The 18,833-nt window shown below is 37.0% G+C and overlaps 1 long non-coding RNA gene across 1 annotated transcript in view, besides 1 other annotated feature; it reads left to right on the top strand.

Annotated features, from left to right (window-relative positions):
• The window catches only part of LINC02296 (long intergenic non-protein coding RNA 2296), a 268,818-nt gene extending 264,604 nt beyond the window's left edge, over window positions 1-4,214 (top strand). Inside the window, exon 16 of the long non-coding RNA XR_007064294.1 lies at window positions 66-4,214. This is a non-coding gene — a long non-coding RNA (long intergenic non-protein coding RNA 2296). The remainder of the gene's footprint in view (window positions 1-65) is intronic.
• Window positions 4,620-5,819: an enhancer, noted in NCBI's record as "P300/CBP strongly-dependent group 1 enhancer chr14:87809385-87810584 (GRCh37/hg19 assembly coordinates)". NCBI's record gives its function as "activates an origin of replication core promoter dependent on BRD2, BRD4, P300/CBP, MED14 and CDK7 cofactors, with strong dependence on P300/CBP, by STARR-seq in HCT116 cells {active_cell/tissue: HCT116}" and the evidence as "EXISTENCE:reporter gene assay evidence [ECO:0000049][PMID:35650434]".

The following is an 18,833-nucleotide window of genomic DNA, read 5'->3' as shown; positions in this document are numbered from 1 at the left end:
TTGCAGTCAGACCTCCTATTCCCCAATGTTTTGATGGTGGTGGTTCTCTGTTGCTTCTCTTAAAGGTCAAAATCATTAGCCTGAAGGTCTTACATTTGGGGCAAGAAAGACTAAACCACCTGACTTATTTTTGTCACAACTCAAAGGAAAGATGGGAATATGGGTGAGAAGGACTGATATTCCCCAGGCAGAACTTTACAAGAACAGAAGGAAATGTTTTCTTCAGATGATAATCCAAGGATGTGGTGAGCCCAGACATGAGGGTAGTTGAGAAAGCATGCCAGAGACTGTGCTGAATGCATTTGGATTGCACAGGTTTGCCAGATCCCAAAGCTAATTAGGACTAGGCAGAAAGAGGCTCAGCACTCCACAGCCTGGCTAGTTCCCTTAAGGTAATGCTTTTTTGAAGTCTGAGAATATCCCATTGTTTATTTAAGCTTTAGCCCTCAGCCTTTTCCAAAAGGATTTGAAGGGGCTTAAACATTAATCAAAATGCAAACTAAGATTATTAGTAATAAGCCAAAATCAAGTCTATCCAAATAAATAAATAAAAGAATAAATGTTGCCAGAGGTGGAAGATAAGCTGATTGTTTCTCTGGGTAATGGGTTTGGCACCAGTGTGAGAATATTACCTGGGATATCCCTGAGGGAAGACAGAACCCAGGCACATATCTAACAAAAGACACTGTCAAATCTCAAGGTTGGCCAAATTACAGGGTTGAGCAACATCTGCCCTCCCACCCACCAATTCTGAGATTATTTTTATTTTATGTGGAATTTTGTTTAAATAAGCATCACTTTCAGGGGTTGGTGGTGGTGGTAAAATCAGACATGATTCCTGATGGTGTATGAGGATGGTGAGAGGCACTCTTAACTCGAATTAGTTGAATTTGAGAGGGAAGTATCTGGATGAGCCTCAGCTTTTCCCTTTTCACCCAGAAGCAACAAAAAGAGCAAAGCATTACTCTTCTCTCCTGGGGGACTGGCTGCCTCTGTGACTGCTCTAAGAGCCACAGTATCAATTCTACTCCCTCCCTACCTTGCCCGTCTTTCATGTGGAAGGCATTCAACATTCTCCACCCCCATTTCAGGGAAAGGTAAGCAGATCCTGGAGCAGTGTTATTTAAGACACAAGAAAAATTGTACTAAAGTGTGTGCCTGTGTGTGTGTGTGTGTTTGTGTGTGGTGTGTGCTGAATGTCAGTGAACTCAGGAACAATAGAAGCCTACAGATATTTCTAGACCTTAGGGCAAGGTTTGGGCAATTTCTCAAATAATCTTTCTTTCTGTTGCAGCCATCAGCAGAAATTTGATGGGTCATTGGCCAATGCATTCATGAGTTTGGAGGGAGACAACTAAAACTTTACTGAGCTAGGCCAGACCACAAAGGTCTGGACCAGGTTTTCAGATTGCTAAAAATAACAATTCTGACTTATTAATTACTGAGGCAGAACAGGAATGATATACATGAAGGACTAGGCTCTGAAATGCCTCAGGGAGGCTGTAGAAGTCAGTCAATGCCACAGTACCGCTGTGCAGCCATCCCCACCCCCACTCCTCAGCTCGGTGGCTGAAAAACACAGAATTAATTTGTGCTCACACATCTTTGGGCCAGCTAGAGTTTCATTAAACTGATCTGGGTTCCACTAAACTTAAACTTTGGGCCACGGATTGAGGTCAGAGTCTCTTGTTCTGTAACGAGTAGGCAACTCAGGAACTTTCTATCATGGCTATGGGAAAAGTGCAAGAAGACAAGTCCAATCCTGCATGCACATTTCAAATCACATTTCAATTGTACTAACATCCCACTATCTAAAACAAGTTCCATGGCCAAATCAAAGGTCAGCAGCCAGGGAAACATTTTCTGTCTATTCTGAGCCCATGGCAAGAACTTGGATGGATGATACTACAAGGGAGTGAAAAATTGGGAACAATAATTCTATGCCAAAGAATAATGCCAAATAATACCACTAATGCCAAAGAGGCATTCCTGAATTGGTAGGTTATGCAGCCTATGTGGAGAAAGCAAATTCTCTGGTTAGGAAAGCCCCAAACCAGAGACCTAGGGCTTTCTGTAATGTTTTAGGCCAGTGAAAAGCGTAAGGTCGGAAATCAGGTCCCCACTCAAGGATGTCATATAAAGATGTTGTCATTATAGCACACTTACATCCTCCCATATTCTATTTTTAACTGAGTCTTCAGGAGTACCTGAGGTTTCAACATAACAGGGTAAGGTAAAGCCTTCCACGTGTTTTTTAAATCTTTGTTTCTCTCTAGCATGTTTTGTTCCACAAAGCTAAGGGCCAGGAAACCGTTTCTTTTTATTAATGAAACAAATCTGTTCCTTGCTATAGACAATTTTTACTTTGTAGAGATCTTATTCCCTTCTTTGTGAGAACTTTCAGGATGCTCATGGATAGCTCTGGCCATGACAGTTTTAATAGAGCTTCTTTTTCCTCTTTTATTTATGATTTCTCTGTTTCACTACATGGTTTTCAGTTTTACTGCCACTGAACATTCATTGCAGGCTGCCTTGATTCAGTTTTGAAAGCAGACAAGCAAAGAAAGAAGGAGGGAGGGAGTGGAAAAGGAAGAAATAAAAGAGAAAAAAGATTGAACTTGGTATCATGTCTTGTCCTTATGTTAAATAATATTACAATCAGGCATATTTTTTGGTCCTTAATATTAAACAACACTGAGAACAAGCAACAGTAACTTAGTTCCTGGAAGATCCTTGCTCTTGGAAGATAATACCAACAGCCAACTAAAATAGCTTACTTGTCAAGACTAATAGTTTGCTCATCAGAACTTCCTTCTGGATCCCCATAGTCCTATTCTCATCAACCCAAAGCTACTATTGTATAAACTCTGTCTTGCAAGACCCACCTTAAAAAATGACCCAATCTGGGCCCTTCCATAAATATTCTCTCTCATTATTTCCCCTTGACCTTATCGAGATTGTGTTATCCAGTACTGCAACAAATCTAATAAACTTAGATTTGAATAATCAATAGATTTGTGGTCTTTAGGGAAATCATTATTCAGCAGAAAAAAGCAAGTTTTTTATTTGTAAAAATCAGCCATTGTCTTGTATATTTATATACCTGTGTAAGCTACAGAACATACTCTGGCAATAACCTAAAATGCTACCAATTTCAACCTTGTCAAATACATTAGTCATCTCTGACTTTTGATAGGAAAAGACACATATAACAACTGAAAAAATTCATTAAAATGTGTGGTGGTTATTAAGAAAGATGAAGTTATATTTATAAAACTAGCAAGTCAGTTTGAAATATTTTGACTTAAAAAGATGAATTGGGAAATCTTTTTTTCTTTATTTTAGGGTCAAGAGGTACATGTGCAGATTTGTTACATGGGTAACTTGCATGTCACGGAGGAGGTTTAGTGTACATTTGTTTTTGTCACCCAGGTAATCAGCATAATACACAATAGGTAGTTTAAGTGAAGTTTTCTTCAACGCTTTTAGTCAAAGAGCATGGAAACCAACTGTACGTGTGACTGACTTTCTTCCTCCCTCCAGGGGAGCCATCTGTGAGCCACACTCTTGTCTCATTCCTGTGGGCATCTCTCTGCCTCTGTGCATGGCGTTCAGGCAACAGAGCCTGTGGCAGACTGTAGGGCTAATCACCTAAACTGGTGACCCTGTTTGGGTTGGAAAGATTACCAATGTGTTGATGTCTGTGCACCCATTGTTGTGTGTGGAAAGATGGTGGATTCAGGTAAGACAACTATCAGAGATCCAATTAACAGGTAACCAGAACATCCAGAAACTCGCAACCTTTTTTGCTTCTACTTTACATTTCAGAGGCGTGAAGTGGTTGATTCTATCCTTGGTTTCAGTTTTAAAATGGCCCTACATGCTATTTCGTAAATTATTTTTCCACATTTATCATTTCAACAAGATGTGCTGTGGGAAGATCCTTCCTGCATATGCTGTCTATTCATGCTGATTTTTGTGTTGCAGTTCTGACCTTCTCATTTATCTAATGTGCAGCTGTCAAGGGCCTATCATGACTTAAAATGTGTAACCCTATGTTGGCTTTTGGAGCCAACAGATTTGAAGTAAAGTTATCCCTAAAGAAAATTTGGCTTCCCCAATTTTAAATTGGTGAAATAATGAAACTTAGTGACCAAAATATGTAAATTTAAGCATTAAAGGGGAAGAAATAAAGAGATGAACAGAAAAAAGAAAGAAAGAGAGAAAGAAAGAAAGGAAGGAAGGAAGGAAAGAAAAGAAAGAAAAAAGAAAAGGAAAGAAAGAAAGAGAGAGGAGAGAAGAGGAAAGGAAAGGAGAGGAAAGGAAAGGAAAAGAAGAGAAGAAAGAAAATATACTGAATATAATGTTTGGATATTGTGAGTCCCTTAGAAAAGGTGTTAATAATCAGTAAAGGAGAGAAGAGTTCCAGGGAGAAAGGTACAGACACCTTTTCATAGCAAAGGTCAATTATTCAATAAGGAAACATTTAGGATGATGTCTATGTGCCAAGCACTGCGAGAGTTATCAGAATGTCTCATTTCCTCAAAGTTTCTACTATTATTCCAATAGAAAAACAACAGTACAAGATACAGGATGGAGAAGGTGAGTTGAACGGTTTTTTAATTCAACACAGGAATTTTTGGTCCACTGTCCAACTAAATGTAAGGAATTAGATTAGCTTTATGTCGTTCTAATTTTTCTTGAGAGCTCGTATCAACAAACACTTGCTGGATGGTTTCTATGAGGCAGGAACTCTGCTATGTTCTGGAATGAGCATATGGAGTTATACAAATATGTACAAGACATATTTCTTGCCATTAAAGTATATATAAGCTAATAGAGAATAAGCATTGATCTGTGAAATAAAGAATAGTCAGATTTGGAAAGTTTCACCAATTTTCAACAGTATAGAATGCAGCATTAGGCAAAGGTCCAAAAATGATATCATCCAAATGGAATGGGGAAATTGGAAAGTTGAGGAAAATGTCAAGGATTGAGACAATTAATGAATCACTAAAGAAGTATTATATATGTTCATAGGTGTGTTTATGATTTCATTTTACTTGACGTCACACGCTGGAACACCCAAATATTTTACTCGTGATTATATTTTTGTGCTTCAGTTACTGGCACCTTTATTTTCTTCCATTAGTGCCCTACATCCATCAATGCCTGTGTGTAGAATATTTTGACCTCAGTAAATTCATAACAGTATTAACAACAGAGTCGCAGGTGTTCTAGGAAGGAAAATAAGGCACAGGTGGACTATAAGAGATGCAAAATTCCAAGCCAAGGGGCTGAGGGTGTCATCAAAGGAGTAATCTCAGGCCCAGTAGCCAGCTGTCTCCTAATACTGATGTTCTTTTCTGCATATCACTGTCAGACAAATCTTCAACATATTTCTGAATCAAAGCCTGCACAAATGATAACGTTCAATGTGCAATATTTCCTTTTATTTTAATTATTTTTCAGACAAGGTCTCACTCTGTCACCCAGGCTGAAGTGCAATGGCATGATCGCGACTCACTGCAATCTCCACTTCCCAGGTTCAAGTGATTCTCCATGCCTCAGCCTCCTGAGAAGCTGGGACTACAGGCGCGCACCACCACGCCTGGCTACTTTTTGTATTTTTAGTAGAGAAAGGGTTTCACCAAGTTGACGAGGCTGGTCTCAAACTCCTGACCTCAAGTGATCTGCCCACCTCAGCCTCCCAAAGTGTTGAGATTACAGGCATTAGCCACCACACCCGGCCCCATTTTCCTAATATAGTGTAGGTGTGTTCAATTTTCTCAATAAATTTAAGTTGAAGTTTCATTAGCTCTTTTTTGGAATTCTAAATGGAACTTATTTTTACTGGTTTTGTACAACAACAAGCAGAGCTCACGAGAAGTCACTTAAAATGAAGAGGAATAAAGCAGGGTGCTGGTTTCTTCTGTGACCAATGTCAATTAACTGACATATATTAAATAAAACTTGTCAGTGTATGTGTGCATGTGTGTGTGTGTATAAGCATGCACACACTTGACCATGACAAGTAAGGGCTGTTGATACAGAGTTCAGCCTACAGTGTAAATCGGGGGTATAAGAAAACCAGGAGACGCTTGCTCCATTAGTTTCCTAGGGCTTCCACATCAAAGCACCAAAAAATAGGTGACTTGAAACAGCAGCACTTTATTTCCTCACAATGCTGAAAGCTAGAATTCCAAAATAAAGGTGTTAGCAGACCCCCCACTCTCTCTGGGATAAGCCTTTCTGTGTCTTCTAGCTTCTGGTGTTTTCTGGTAGTCCCTGGTGTTGCTTGGCTGTGTATGTGTCACTCCCTCACAGGGCCATCTTCCCCCTATGTCTAACTGGCTCTATGTCAAAATGTCCCCTTCCTATAACAACACCAGCCACATCAGAATAGGACCCACACCAATTACCTCATATTATTTTTAATTTTTTTTAATTGTTAATATTTGTAGGAACAGAGTAGGTGAATATATCGATGGGGTACATGAGATGTTTTGATACAGACATGCAATGCACAATAATCACATCATGGAGAATATGGTATCCATCCCCTCAAGCATTTCTCCTTTGAGTTACCAACCATCCAATCATATTCTTTTAGTTATTTTTAAATGTACAATTAAGTTATGATTTACTAAGTCACTTTATGGTGCTGTCAACGAGTAGGTCTTATTTATTCTTTGTAACTATTTTTGTACCCATTAACCATCCCCACCTCCCCCTACACCTCCACCTACTCCCCAACTATCCTTCCTAGCCTCTGGTAACTATCCTTCTACTCTCTATGCCAATCACCTTATTTTAGATTGATTACATCTAGAAGAGCCACTTTTCCAAATAAGGTCACATGCTGATTTACTTGGGATCAGGACTTCAGCATATTTTTTTGGTGTGATACAATTCAGCCCAGAACACTTGCACATTGACCCTTTAAAAAGAAGTCTAGCCTAGAGAATGACTTCCAGCTTTACTGATTTCACTGCTCACTGTTGTTTCTTTGGTACCAAGTATTCTCTATTCTCATTCTTTCTGATTTATTTCTCAGATGGTTGGCTATATCAAATAGTATTTTGGGAAGGGTAATGTGTCAGTGGGATTATTGCCAAATTCTTTTCTTGAGTTTTATCATTTTTCCACAATAAGACAGATTATTTTGAGGAATAAATTAAGGTGTCAGTATAATTTCTGCCAAAATCATGGCAGCAGAACTTTTTACTTCAGTATAGAAAAAGGCCCTAGGGAAAGGTGATTTTCTTTCATTTCATGAAAGGACTTACGCTCCTCAAGGTTAAGTGACTAGATCAAGGTCACACAGTTAGAGTCAGAGCCAGAAAAAAAAATCCAAATGGTCAATGTAGATCACGGAAATGTCCTTGTTTGCAGTCTCTTATTCAGTTCAATGCTAGGATTCATGCCCACTTTTAGAATCTTGTTGGAACTTGACTCAAAAGGACTGAGTTCAGAAGCCAGGCACTCCTCCAACTTCGCTCACATATTGATCAAAGACATTTCCCTTCCACTATTCTTTGCAAATATGACATGCTTTCCACATCAAAACAAAACAGTGGCCTTATCAGAATCAAGAAATGAAAATATCAAAACAGTTTGAGATTATTCCCATTTTAATGTAAAGAATATTGCCTGGCAAATTTTTGGTTTGGGTTTTCACTAAAATTGGTAGTATCGAGTGAATTGGTGCAAATCAAATGATGTTTGTGTGGAGTATGGAAAGTTATTAGAACCATAGCGAATACTCCTGCATACTTGTGTAATTTTGGAAATGCCACTAAGTGCCAGTTTCCTTGTAAGTAAAATCAGGGGAAAAATCATCATCCTCACTTAACTCATAATATTGGCTTTCTGACTGTAACTTGGCATCCAATAAGCAGCCAATAAACATTTATGTGTTCATTTACATTTTTGGAAATACTCCAAGAAATAATTATTTCATCTTGATGCTTCCCTGTGCAGATGACATTCAGACAGACCCATGTTAAATTCCAGATCTTCCTGTTAATAGCTGTGTGACCTTGGGCATGTTTCCCTAATTTCTTGGTCCCTTCCTGCCTGAAATAAAAATGGAAATCATGATAATGACTACATTGTAGAGATATTGTGAGGGTTACGTGCAATCATCCATATAAAGTGCTTGGTGTGGAATCTTAGCACTTAGTGAGTGTTTCATTTGTGAAAGTTACTGATGTCATTATTTTTATTTTTCAGTACCATATTTAGGGCTTGTCTACTTTTGTGACTTCTAATTAGTAAGAGAAAATCTACATGTTGAAAGACTATTGGTTTGTCTCTCATATCTTACTTAACTTTTCTTATCAGGTATTAAGCATAACTGAATAGGGAATAGATTTTCTAATTAGTACACAATGAGGAAGTTTTTGTGTCATGCATATTATTCTTCTTGACCTGAGGTATCCCGTTTTGGATTCCTATCCCTAGAACCCTCAGAGCCTGCTACAAATGGAATGTGTGTGTCCCCTGCAAAATTGTATATTCCAACTCTAATCCCCAATGTGATGGTATTTGGAAATGGGGCCTTTGGAAGGTAATTTGATCATGAGGTTGGAGACTTCTTGATGGGATTAGTGTCCTTATAAAAAGAGATAGGAGAAAGCTTGTTTCCTCTCTCTATGCTGTCTGCCTTATATGGATACAGGAAGATGGGCAATCTGCAAACCAGAAAGAGGCTGCTCATCGGACACCTAGTCTGCCAACATTTTGATCTCAGACTTTCCAGCCTCCAGAACTGTGAGAAGTAAATTTCTATTAAGCCACCCAGTCTACGTAAATTGTTATAGCATTTGAACTAAGGGCCTCTGTTTTTTTTCATTTAAAAAATAATAATAGTAACAACTATTTTTACCTTATAGAATAATTAGTAATTATATTTCTAATAATCAAAATGCTTACAAGTTGTAAAAATGGTAACACCTAGTTGGCTATAAACAAACAGATACCTCATTGAGTAGAAGTATACCACAATTATCATAAAAAGGAGAAGTAAAAGGAAGAAGATAAGAATGAAAGATATATATCTATACAGGGCCTTTTATGTCTTAGACACAGTGCTTACATAGTGCTTTCAAATATACATTTATTTATTCTTCATAACAAATGTGGGTGCCATAATATGAACATCCAGCACGTGTGAAAAGTGAAGCCTAGGGTAAGGAAACTCACTTAAGGTTACATGGCTGGTCCATAGGGACTTTGGTTCTATCTACCTCTTTTAAGATGGCAGACTAAGCACCAAAGTACTTCCCTCTCCATTTTTCCAAAATCTCAAATGCAAATTAAAGGTACAATAAGATACTTCTAAAACTATTTGATCCAACAGCCTTTTAGAATATCAATTTTTAAAAAAGTTTAAAGCAATATTTATGAGCATATATTATTTTTATTACACAAATTTAAGTCTGTCTGACTCAATTATCTCTATTCTTTCTTCTAAACCATGTTATCTCATTATCTCTTTGATTATGGTCTCCCCTGTGTCTCTCTATAATTCTTACAAATGAACCAGTTGAGCTTAACAGTAAACCAATTATAGTATGACTTTCTCCATTTTAATCAAAGAAGGGAAACCTGCCTGATTATTCGGGGATTTTGATAACTTAAGTATTCCTTCAGGTCTTTGTGTATACTTGAGGCAATAATGTAGTTTTCTCCTAAGTTAACTGCACTGTCTTTGAACTCTTGGACTCATGTATGCTTAAATTAGGGTTGTCAGATTTAGAAAATTAAAATTCTGAATTCCAAGTTAAATTTGAATTTCAGATTAACAATGATTTTTTTTAGTATAAATATGCTTCATGTAATGTTTGGGACATAGTTATACTGAAAAAATGTTATTTATCTGAAATCTTAATTTAATTGAATATTCTGTATTTTATCTTGCAACTCTCTCAAATACGTGTCACAATTGACAATCGTTGTAATGACTGCTTCATCTAGAAACATCAGTAAAAAGCAAACTCAGGTATATCAGTCTTTGAAATTTCCCATCTAATTTACATAGCAACTAAAATGTCATATCGTGTTTTAGTTCTCTGAAGAGATCACAAACTATAGAAGCTGTCTGACGTACCCATGAGATTTTGGGAAATAAATTATATCCTTTTTATAGGTGGAGTGAGAAGTATTAGCATAGGGTGGCTAGCTAATTGTTATATATTCGATAACAATTAGGCTGAAAATCTGACTCTAACCTTGGTCTTTTGCCTTCTTTACCAAAATTCTACTTTCGTGAAGGAAATTTAAATTACTGTGGCATGAGCACACTCGAAACTCATAACTAAAGGTGTACTAAGGTTCTTAGTTGCAAGCAACAACCAACTCTAACTTAGGCATAAGAAGATTTGTGGAGAGATTATTGAGAGCAAATTGACAGATATGACTGTGTAGCTGAAAGCACTCCATGATTCTTCAAAATGTGAAGTGGGAATCAGAAAACAACATCTTGTAGCTGAAGCAATCTGATCTAGTGCCATGTCACTCAAACCTCCGCTTGCTCTATATTCTGCTTCGCATCAGAAACTCAGTATTCAAATGTCCCAGAAAGCTTGACTGCTTGGCCAAGATTAGGCCACATTCCCATTCCCTCCCTGTACTGGAAAGAGGGTTCTGAACTTATCTCATGAAGTTGGAATTGTCTTCTTCCATGTCTCTCTATAATGGAGAAGAGAGAATTCTGCTGTAAAAATCCAGGCAGGAAAATGGATGGTTGGTGGCAAAAAATCAGTAATTATCCATTAAGCATTTAAGTACAAAAGGCCCTTTTATATCCTTCTCTACGTTGATCCCCAATTTTCCTATCAACAAGAGGAACATGGATGAAACTGGAGGTCATTATATAAAGTGAAATAAGCCAGGCACAGAAGGACAAACTTCACATGTTCTCATTTGTGGAATCTTAAACTTAAACCAATTGAACTCATGGAGATAGAGAGTAGAAGGATGGTTACCATCACTGGGAAATGGAGGGTGGGGGTATTCTGGGGAAGTGGAGAGGGTTAATGGATACAAAAACAATAGTTAGAAAGAATGAATAAGACCTAGTATTTGTTAGCACAACAGAGTGACTGTAGTCAAAATAATTTGATTGTATATTTTTTAAAAACTAAAAGGGTATAATTGGATTATTTGTAACACAAAGGATACATGCTTGAGATGATGGATATTCCATTTACTGTGATGTGATTATTATGCATGCCTGTTTAAAAATATCTCATGTAACCCATAAATATATACATCTACTATGTGCCCCAAAAATTAAAAATTAAAATTAATAAAAAGAAAAAAAGAGGTAACCTTCTGTAGAATAAGGAAGCAATAGCAGCAATGGAAACTGAAGCATGGTAGCTGCCTTGAGAAGTAATCCTTAATATTAGAAGTCACTTTTTTTTGTGTGAGGATCCTTCCATGTAGTAGCTTTATTCTTTGCCTTTGGGAACTTAGCCTTCTTTTGGTCTCCCTCCTGAAAGCTCTATCAACTGCAAGGCTAACTGGATTCAAGGATGGTGCATACTATCTCAGTCTGAGTTTTTCTGGGTAACAGCTCTCTGCCTTTCTTGATACAAATTTATAATCGTTATCATCGAGATGAGGAATTTGTAACTTGGAATACATGGGTGGGTTTTAAAGAGTTAGAAAAATCCCTGTAACTTATTATAATTTTTGAGTAAGATTTTATGTGCATATTCCTATAAAAAGAATCCACAGTTCTAAAAGTGTATATTCTCAAAGGTATCTATTAAGGAAAACAGGGTTCAATGACATAAATGAAACCAGGAATATTAAATGTCTTTGCCAATTTCAAATAACTTTTTAGTAGCACAATCAAGACATCAAGTTCCCAATATAGTTTGAGAAATTATTTGAGTTTTGTGCCAATTATGCATGTATTTCTAAAGGCAAAATACAGAAGCCTTTTCTTCTTACTAAATATGCCCTTCATTCTGGGAATGCCACGATGGCATTATCAGCTTCACCTCACTCCCCATGTCTGGTGATCCTGGCAGAGAACCATCTAGCCAAGAAGATGACTGAGGCCAACCCTTCCTCAATTATTTCTTTTTTTGTAGAAATGCCATTAGTAGCTAGTACAATACCTTTTGCAAAAATATATTGTTTTTATGGCTTCTTGATATTTCCACTTGATGTATTTACATATAGGTAAGTTTATTCTCATATCTTGATTGCCTGAATGGTCTCATAGCAGGATTTGAATAACTAGAGAAAACCTTAATTGTATTTGAGGTGGCTTTTATCTTTTGAAAAAGCTTCTAGATTTAAAACATTACTAGTCTTCGTTTCTTCAGGCTATCATAACAAAATACCATAGACTGGGAGGATCATGAACAACAGAAATTTATTTCTCATGGTACTGGAGTCCAGGAAGTTTAAGATCAAGGCACCAGCTGATTCAGTGTCTGGTGAGAGTACACTCTCAGGGCAAGGCTGGAAGAGTCACCCAGGCAGAGAAATGGCTGAGCAAGTGCAGGAGGTGGCCAGGGCTGAGGGAGTCCTAGCAGGTGAATATGGTGTGTGTTTGACACAAGTAGTATTTGAAGGCTTGCTTCCATCCTGAACTGTTGTTTGTGGAATGTTGGGAAGGGCATTTATTCTCTATGGGTCTCAGAATCACCTATAAAATGGGGTAATTAAGAGACCTTTAAAGTCTAAAATTCTACAATTGCATATACTAGCAGTGAAACATTTTGAATTTGGGATTTATGTCCTCCACCCCCAAATAAATTTTCTGGGGAGGATCTAGGGGCATTAACTCATTCAAATCTTTGCAGGATTCAACATTTATCTTTAATGTAACCCTGAATAGCAGCCAGCTGATTTATAATGGTACATTTTTACATCTTCAATACATAGTAAGGAAGAAACATGAACTGAAACCTTTAGAACAGTTGTAAACAGCATGGAATCATATAGATGTTTTTCCTCTGGAAAAATCAATCAAATATTAGTTCATAAGAATATTTTGATTCAACTAATTAATCAATTATTAATACTTAGAAGTAAATTGTAACTATACATTGTTGGTTGGATTTTGATGTATAAACATAAATTGAGTCTCCTTGTGACTCTATAATACATGCAATGTATTATATGTATGAGATGGCTAACCTTTACAAACATGATTGTTTTTACTCTTGGTATTATTAGACATATTTCCAGGGAAATGCAAACCACAGAAGTAACTTACAGAAAGGGATTTCTATGTAATATTATCTATGCTCCCTTTAGTGGAGGAAGGAGTTTAGCATGGGAAGTAGATCCAAGAGAGCATCTGCTTTCAACAGAATCTTGCACATAAACTCTGATTCCCATGGGTTTAGGGAACATGCTCAGCATGTGGAGCAATGTTTTCTGTTACTTTCATTTTCAAATTTCCTATTGCAAGCCTCTTCTTCAGAGATGTGTTTCTGTTTTAATTGGGCTTTGTCTGTTGCTCTATACCTGTCAGGTCTCAAATGTTGTTCCATAATTCTTAGATACGATTAAATGGTAACCAATTCATCATTATCTCAGAGGCAATTTAAAGCCTTATGAGTTGGATTTTTGTTCACATACACATGGCGAAAAAGAGAGGTTGTCTATGATGAAAGGTGACTGTTTCCCTCAGGGAGGCAGTATAATGCTGTGGTAAAGGGCACAGGTTCTGGAATTCAAATTTCAACTCAGAGGAATTCCAATTCATTCATTCATTTAACAAATTTTTATTGAATTGTTACTATGTCCTAGACACTGTTGTAGGTGCTAGAGTGTAACAGAGAAAAAAAAAACTGCCCTTGTTTATCTTCCATTTTAATGAAGGAATTAAAAACAAACAAGATAAATGAAAACAATATATACCTAAATATATTAGATCATGATAAGCGTAGGGAGAAAAGGAAATTAAAAGAGGGATTAGAAGGTTAAAATTTTAGTTTAGCCCAGGGAGGTCTTACTGAGAAGATATTTTGCCAGGAGCAAATGCATATTGTCTTAGTCCATTTTCTGAGGCTGAGTAATGTATTTTAAAAATAATAATGATAAAAGAGGTTACTTAGCTCATGGTTCTGGTGGCTGGGGAGTTCAAGGTCAGGCAGCTGCATCTGGCCAGAAACCTCATGCCGCATTATGATAGCCGATGGCACCACAAGATAAGAGTGTGTGAAAAAGAGGCAAAACATGAGGGATAATTTTATGGTATAACAACCCACTTTTGTGGAAACTAATCCAGTCCCTGGAGAGTGAGAACTCACTTCCATGAGATAGTATTAATCCCTTCATGAGGGTGGATCCCTCCAAACCCAAATACTTCCCAAAGGTCCCACCACCTCTCAACACCATCACGTTGGGGTCCAAGCCTCCACTTGAGTTTTAGGGAGGACAAACCATATTCCAACCATAGCACATGTGTTGTGTTACCTAGAATTTATGTAATACTTTTCTGCAAAGTTTACAATAGTGTGTCTCTGTCAGAACTCTTTGCTGGGCTTCTGCCAGCATTTGGAAGGGCCTTGTGAAAGTGGGGGATCTTAAGCTTCATTTGCTTCACGTTAAGCACACACCTAAATCTGACACTTATTAATAATCAGGGTGACTTTGGCCAAGTAACTTAACCTCTCTAAAAAGTTCCCAGCTGTGAAATGGAGATAATAAAAGTATTAGTTCACTTTATTGGATATATTATAAGGCTCAGACAAGATGATGTATAAAAAAAATTCGTCATTGTGTTAAGCACAAAATAGATACTAAATTCCTAAATTCTTAAATGCATTCTTATGTGTCCTGTCAGTTTTGCCTACTTGCTTCTTACTTTTTCTTTATTTATTTAACTACCCAGGCTATTTATGTGTTCACCGTCATGTTTTTAAAGCAAAATGTTAGTTAAATTAAAAATCCTGATTTAGCTGAGCTTTTTTAAGGTGCCCAAGTCTGGGAAGAAGGTAAAATGACATAAATGAAGCATCTACCTTTTATATATATTTATTTATTTAAACTTCTATCACACTAGGAGCACTTGCAGTATTATTAAACTCATCTTTTAGATGGAGACAGAGAGGCTGAGAAATATTAAGTAAATTGTCTAGTCACTCAGCTCAAAGAGCTATAACTGGGATTCAGTCACAGATATGTGTACTTAAAAGTTTATACTGTTTCCATAAAGTCTGAATGAATAAAATCTTCCACAGAAATGAATTATTCATAAAATGAAGGTGCTATTATCAGTCTTGACCTTACAAAAATTAATTACCTAAATAAGGCATGGTATTTACATATTTGTACCTGGTCCATTAAGGACTCAGAAGCAGAGGAAATTGGCAAAGATAAGAGGAGAACTGAATTTGATTTTCAGCCTGAATTATTGTTAGTATGTTTAATACGTGTAAATAGGCTAAGAGCATTTGCTGAAGAACACTTAGGAAATAAAGCCATATAATGCTACCCAGGTCTCTTTACAAAATGGCTATTCTCTCAAAAAGTCTACACTTCAGTCTGGCAGGCTCTCCCAGGGGTTGGTGCCTGAGAGCCTGGAGATGAGATCCTGCTCATAGGATCAGCCTACACATTGCATAAAGGCCTCCCCTCCTCTAGCAGCTGGTCCAGTTCTCCTGATTCCCACTGGGGATCCATCTGTTCTTGAATCTCAATGCCAGCCTTGTCCTGTGGGAGCCACTGAAGCTGGTGATGCCCTTGTGGAGTATGCCTGCCCCTGCTCTTACTAATGTAAGATTAGTGATTAGGCCCGACATGGAAGATTGCTCTTCCGGAGTTGAGCTAAAGGACACAAGAACAAAATAAGCATTTCTGATATGGACACTATGACCGCACACTTGCCTGGCAAAGACATCAGCTTATTTCACTTCACTTGAATTGGGGCCAAAAAGGGAGAATATTGGCTGATATTTTTTTGGGAGAGGATGGGGTGGCTGCAAATTACTAACACTAAGATTTAGTTGTTGTTTTAAATTAATAAAATGACTTCATTAAAGATTATAAAAAAGAAAAAGTGTTAGGTGTCTTAACTCTTCTCATAATTCACTTTTATTACTTGACTCCCCATCTATCAAATCCTGAGTCCTAACGTGGAACCTGATATAAATGAATTAAAACAAATTTAACAGTGGGCAAAGTAATTATTGGAAAGACCACGAACTCTGTCAACAAATGTCCATGTACTTAGCCAGATGGAAGAGGTCATTTATAAAGACATGCTTTTTAATAAAGAGACAAATTAGAATTATCAAATACACTGCCAGCAGAGAGAAGTGAAAATTGTGATTTCTCTGGTCAAAAGGTAAGCTAAAGAGTTTGAAAAGCAGACCTACATATCTCAAGATCCTCAAGAATTATCATCATATTAAAACATAAAATATATTTTATGTCAATAACAATCATTCTAAATCATGAGTAAGAACTTAGACTATAGGCTTAGGCTTATGAAAATGAGAAAATTATATTTTATTTTAAAAAACCATTTCATTAAAAACAAAAACAAGGAATACCACTCCCTCTTTAAGACAATGAGCAATGAGCTGCAGAATCCATTTCTTTTTTCTCTCCAGCATCAGTAATGAGCATGAATCATGGAGTCAGTGACTTAGGCTTGAATCCAAGCTCACATACCTATGGAATAGTTAGCAGTAGTGGCCAAGATTATTATTGTTATTACGTTTGAGAGTGACGTGTACTTATATCAATAGAAAACATCTGTTTATAAAAGTGGAGGCTAGAGAAGCTTACTTAGCAAATTGAATTGTCTTGCTTAGGAAAAAAGGGCAAATCATACATGCTATATTTTTATCAATTATAAAATGGGGACAAAAGTGCCCTTACAACAGTATTGTTGTTATAATTAAACAGATAATATTTAATGTACAGCGAAGGCATGGCCTGTTAATTCCTTTCTTCTTCCCATTTCCTTTCGTCCTCTGCCTGTTCGGATTATTTAGTCCAAATCTTGACTCTTACACAGATGGATGTCTTTGCCTGTCAGTCTAGCGATTATACCCCAGCATACTCTGGCCTGATGTTTTTGTGATTCGGCCAGAGCAGCTTTGTTGGCTGTCATTTGTTTGTTTGCTTGTTTTCCTGCAACATTTCACCACCTGTGTTGTTCCACAGCAGTCAGGTAATCAGTTCTGGATCCTACTCTTTTGCTCTGATGCACATTCTGGGTAAATGACATGCTTAGAACATTAATAACAGACATGTAAGTATTTACATTGGCAAAAAACAGGACTGGCATCTACCATTTAAAGAGAAACTGACCTGGCAATAGATTGTGGTGGGGGATACTGGCCAGTTAACTAAAATTTAATTCAGGAAATAATCAATTTATAAAGTGTCCAATTAACCAAATTAGAGATGTTCTTCAATGTTTCACTGTGAAAAGGTTTTACTGATGCCAAGACACTTACCAGACCAGCATAGTTGACTTTTGCAATACTCATCATTTTATTGGGGAATGGGTGGGCTGTTTCTTAAAGGCTATGTATCTCTTGGAGATTTACACTCTGCCTGAATGCTGTGTCTGTACTAGCTCTAACTGTATACCTCCTTTGTTTGAGAGTTTTTGGCAAATTGATTATATGTTAATATTTGCCAAAATGGCTTTCAGTGAATTACATTAATGAAGACCCAAGAGTCGGAGTCTGACATTGACTTCTGGGGTCTTTTCTCCAGGTTCACCACTTGCCAGCTGGATAACCTTGACAATTAAACCTCTCTAACCTTCAACATCCTCATCCATAAAACAGGAAAGATGAGAATATCATTACCCAAAGTTGTGTGGATCTATGAGGTATCCCATGCAATGCACTGAACACGGAGAACTACAAAATAAGGGCTCAAGCACTGTGACTTATCATTGTCTTGTAAGACTCAGATCACCATGATTGTCTCTGTGCTTCTATTATTGGAAAAAGACATAGGTAGGGGTTAAATTTCCCCTTTTTTGCCAGACACTGTGTTAGAAGTTTATTTCACTTGACTCTTACAAGAATCCTTAACATGATACATCAACAACAATGGGATATTTCAGTGGAGAAATCTACAAAATTGTTCAAGCTTGAACAGATTCACAGGTTCACAGATTTGAACCTGTGTCTAATTCTAAAAGCCCATTAATACGCCATGCTCTGACTACTAGATATCAGTTCTTATTTGTGTATTTTTAGTCATAAATCTGCCCCTGGCCTCCTACCAATTCCTTTTGATTTTTTGAAAATACTGACTTTTACTTAATCATATCATGATTTCTTAAATCAGAAGGGGCTTAAGAAATGTGAACATTTAATGCTCTTATTGCTTCTTTCTTTATTACTTTGGGAAATTTGTTATTAATAAGATGATGCTTTACATTTAAGGATGTGTACATTTTGGAAAAAGTATTATCCATAGATTCATATTTGCATGTTGAAAGGAAAATGGGTTGACAGGAAACACATACTATAATAGAGACAACCAGAAAAATGAGAATAATAATGAGGATGGCATCACCCCGTATTTTGTAGAGTATAGTCACTGGCAATCAACTCTTTGTGGGTGCTTTCACATACGCTTACCTAATTTAATCCTTGGAGGATGAAAGAGGAAAAATTGTTAAGCTTGTTTTACTGATGAGAAAACCACATCTCAGAGAGGTTAAGTGATTTAACCAGTCATATATTTAGTACATAGTAGAGCTGAGAACAGAGCTTGAGTTTTCCCAGAAAAATTTTTTAACATTGGAAGAAAATGTGATAAGTGCTAAGGATAAAAATGACTAGTGTAACAGAGGCTCCTGGATGTTTCTCAATGTC

The sequence above is a fragment of the Homo sapiens genome, chromosome 14, assembly GCF_000001405.40.
Source record: "Homo sapiens chromosome 14, GRCh38.p14 Primary Assembly".
NCBI lineage: Eukaryota > Metazoa > Chordata > Mammalia > Primates > Hominidae > Homo > Homo sapiens.
This window is presented reverse-complemented; position numbering and strand designations above follow the sequence as displayed.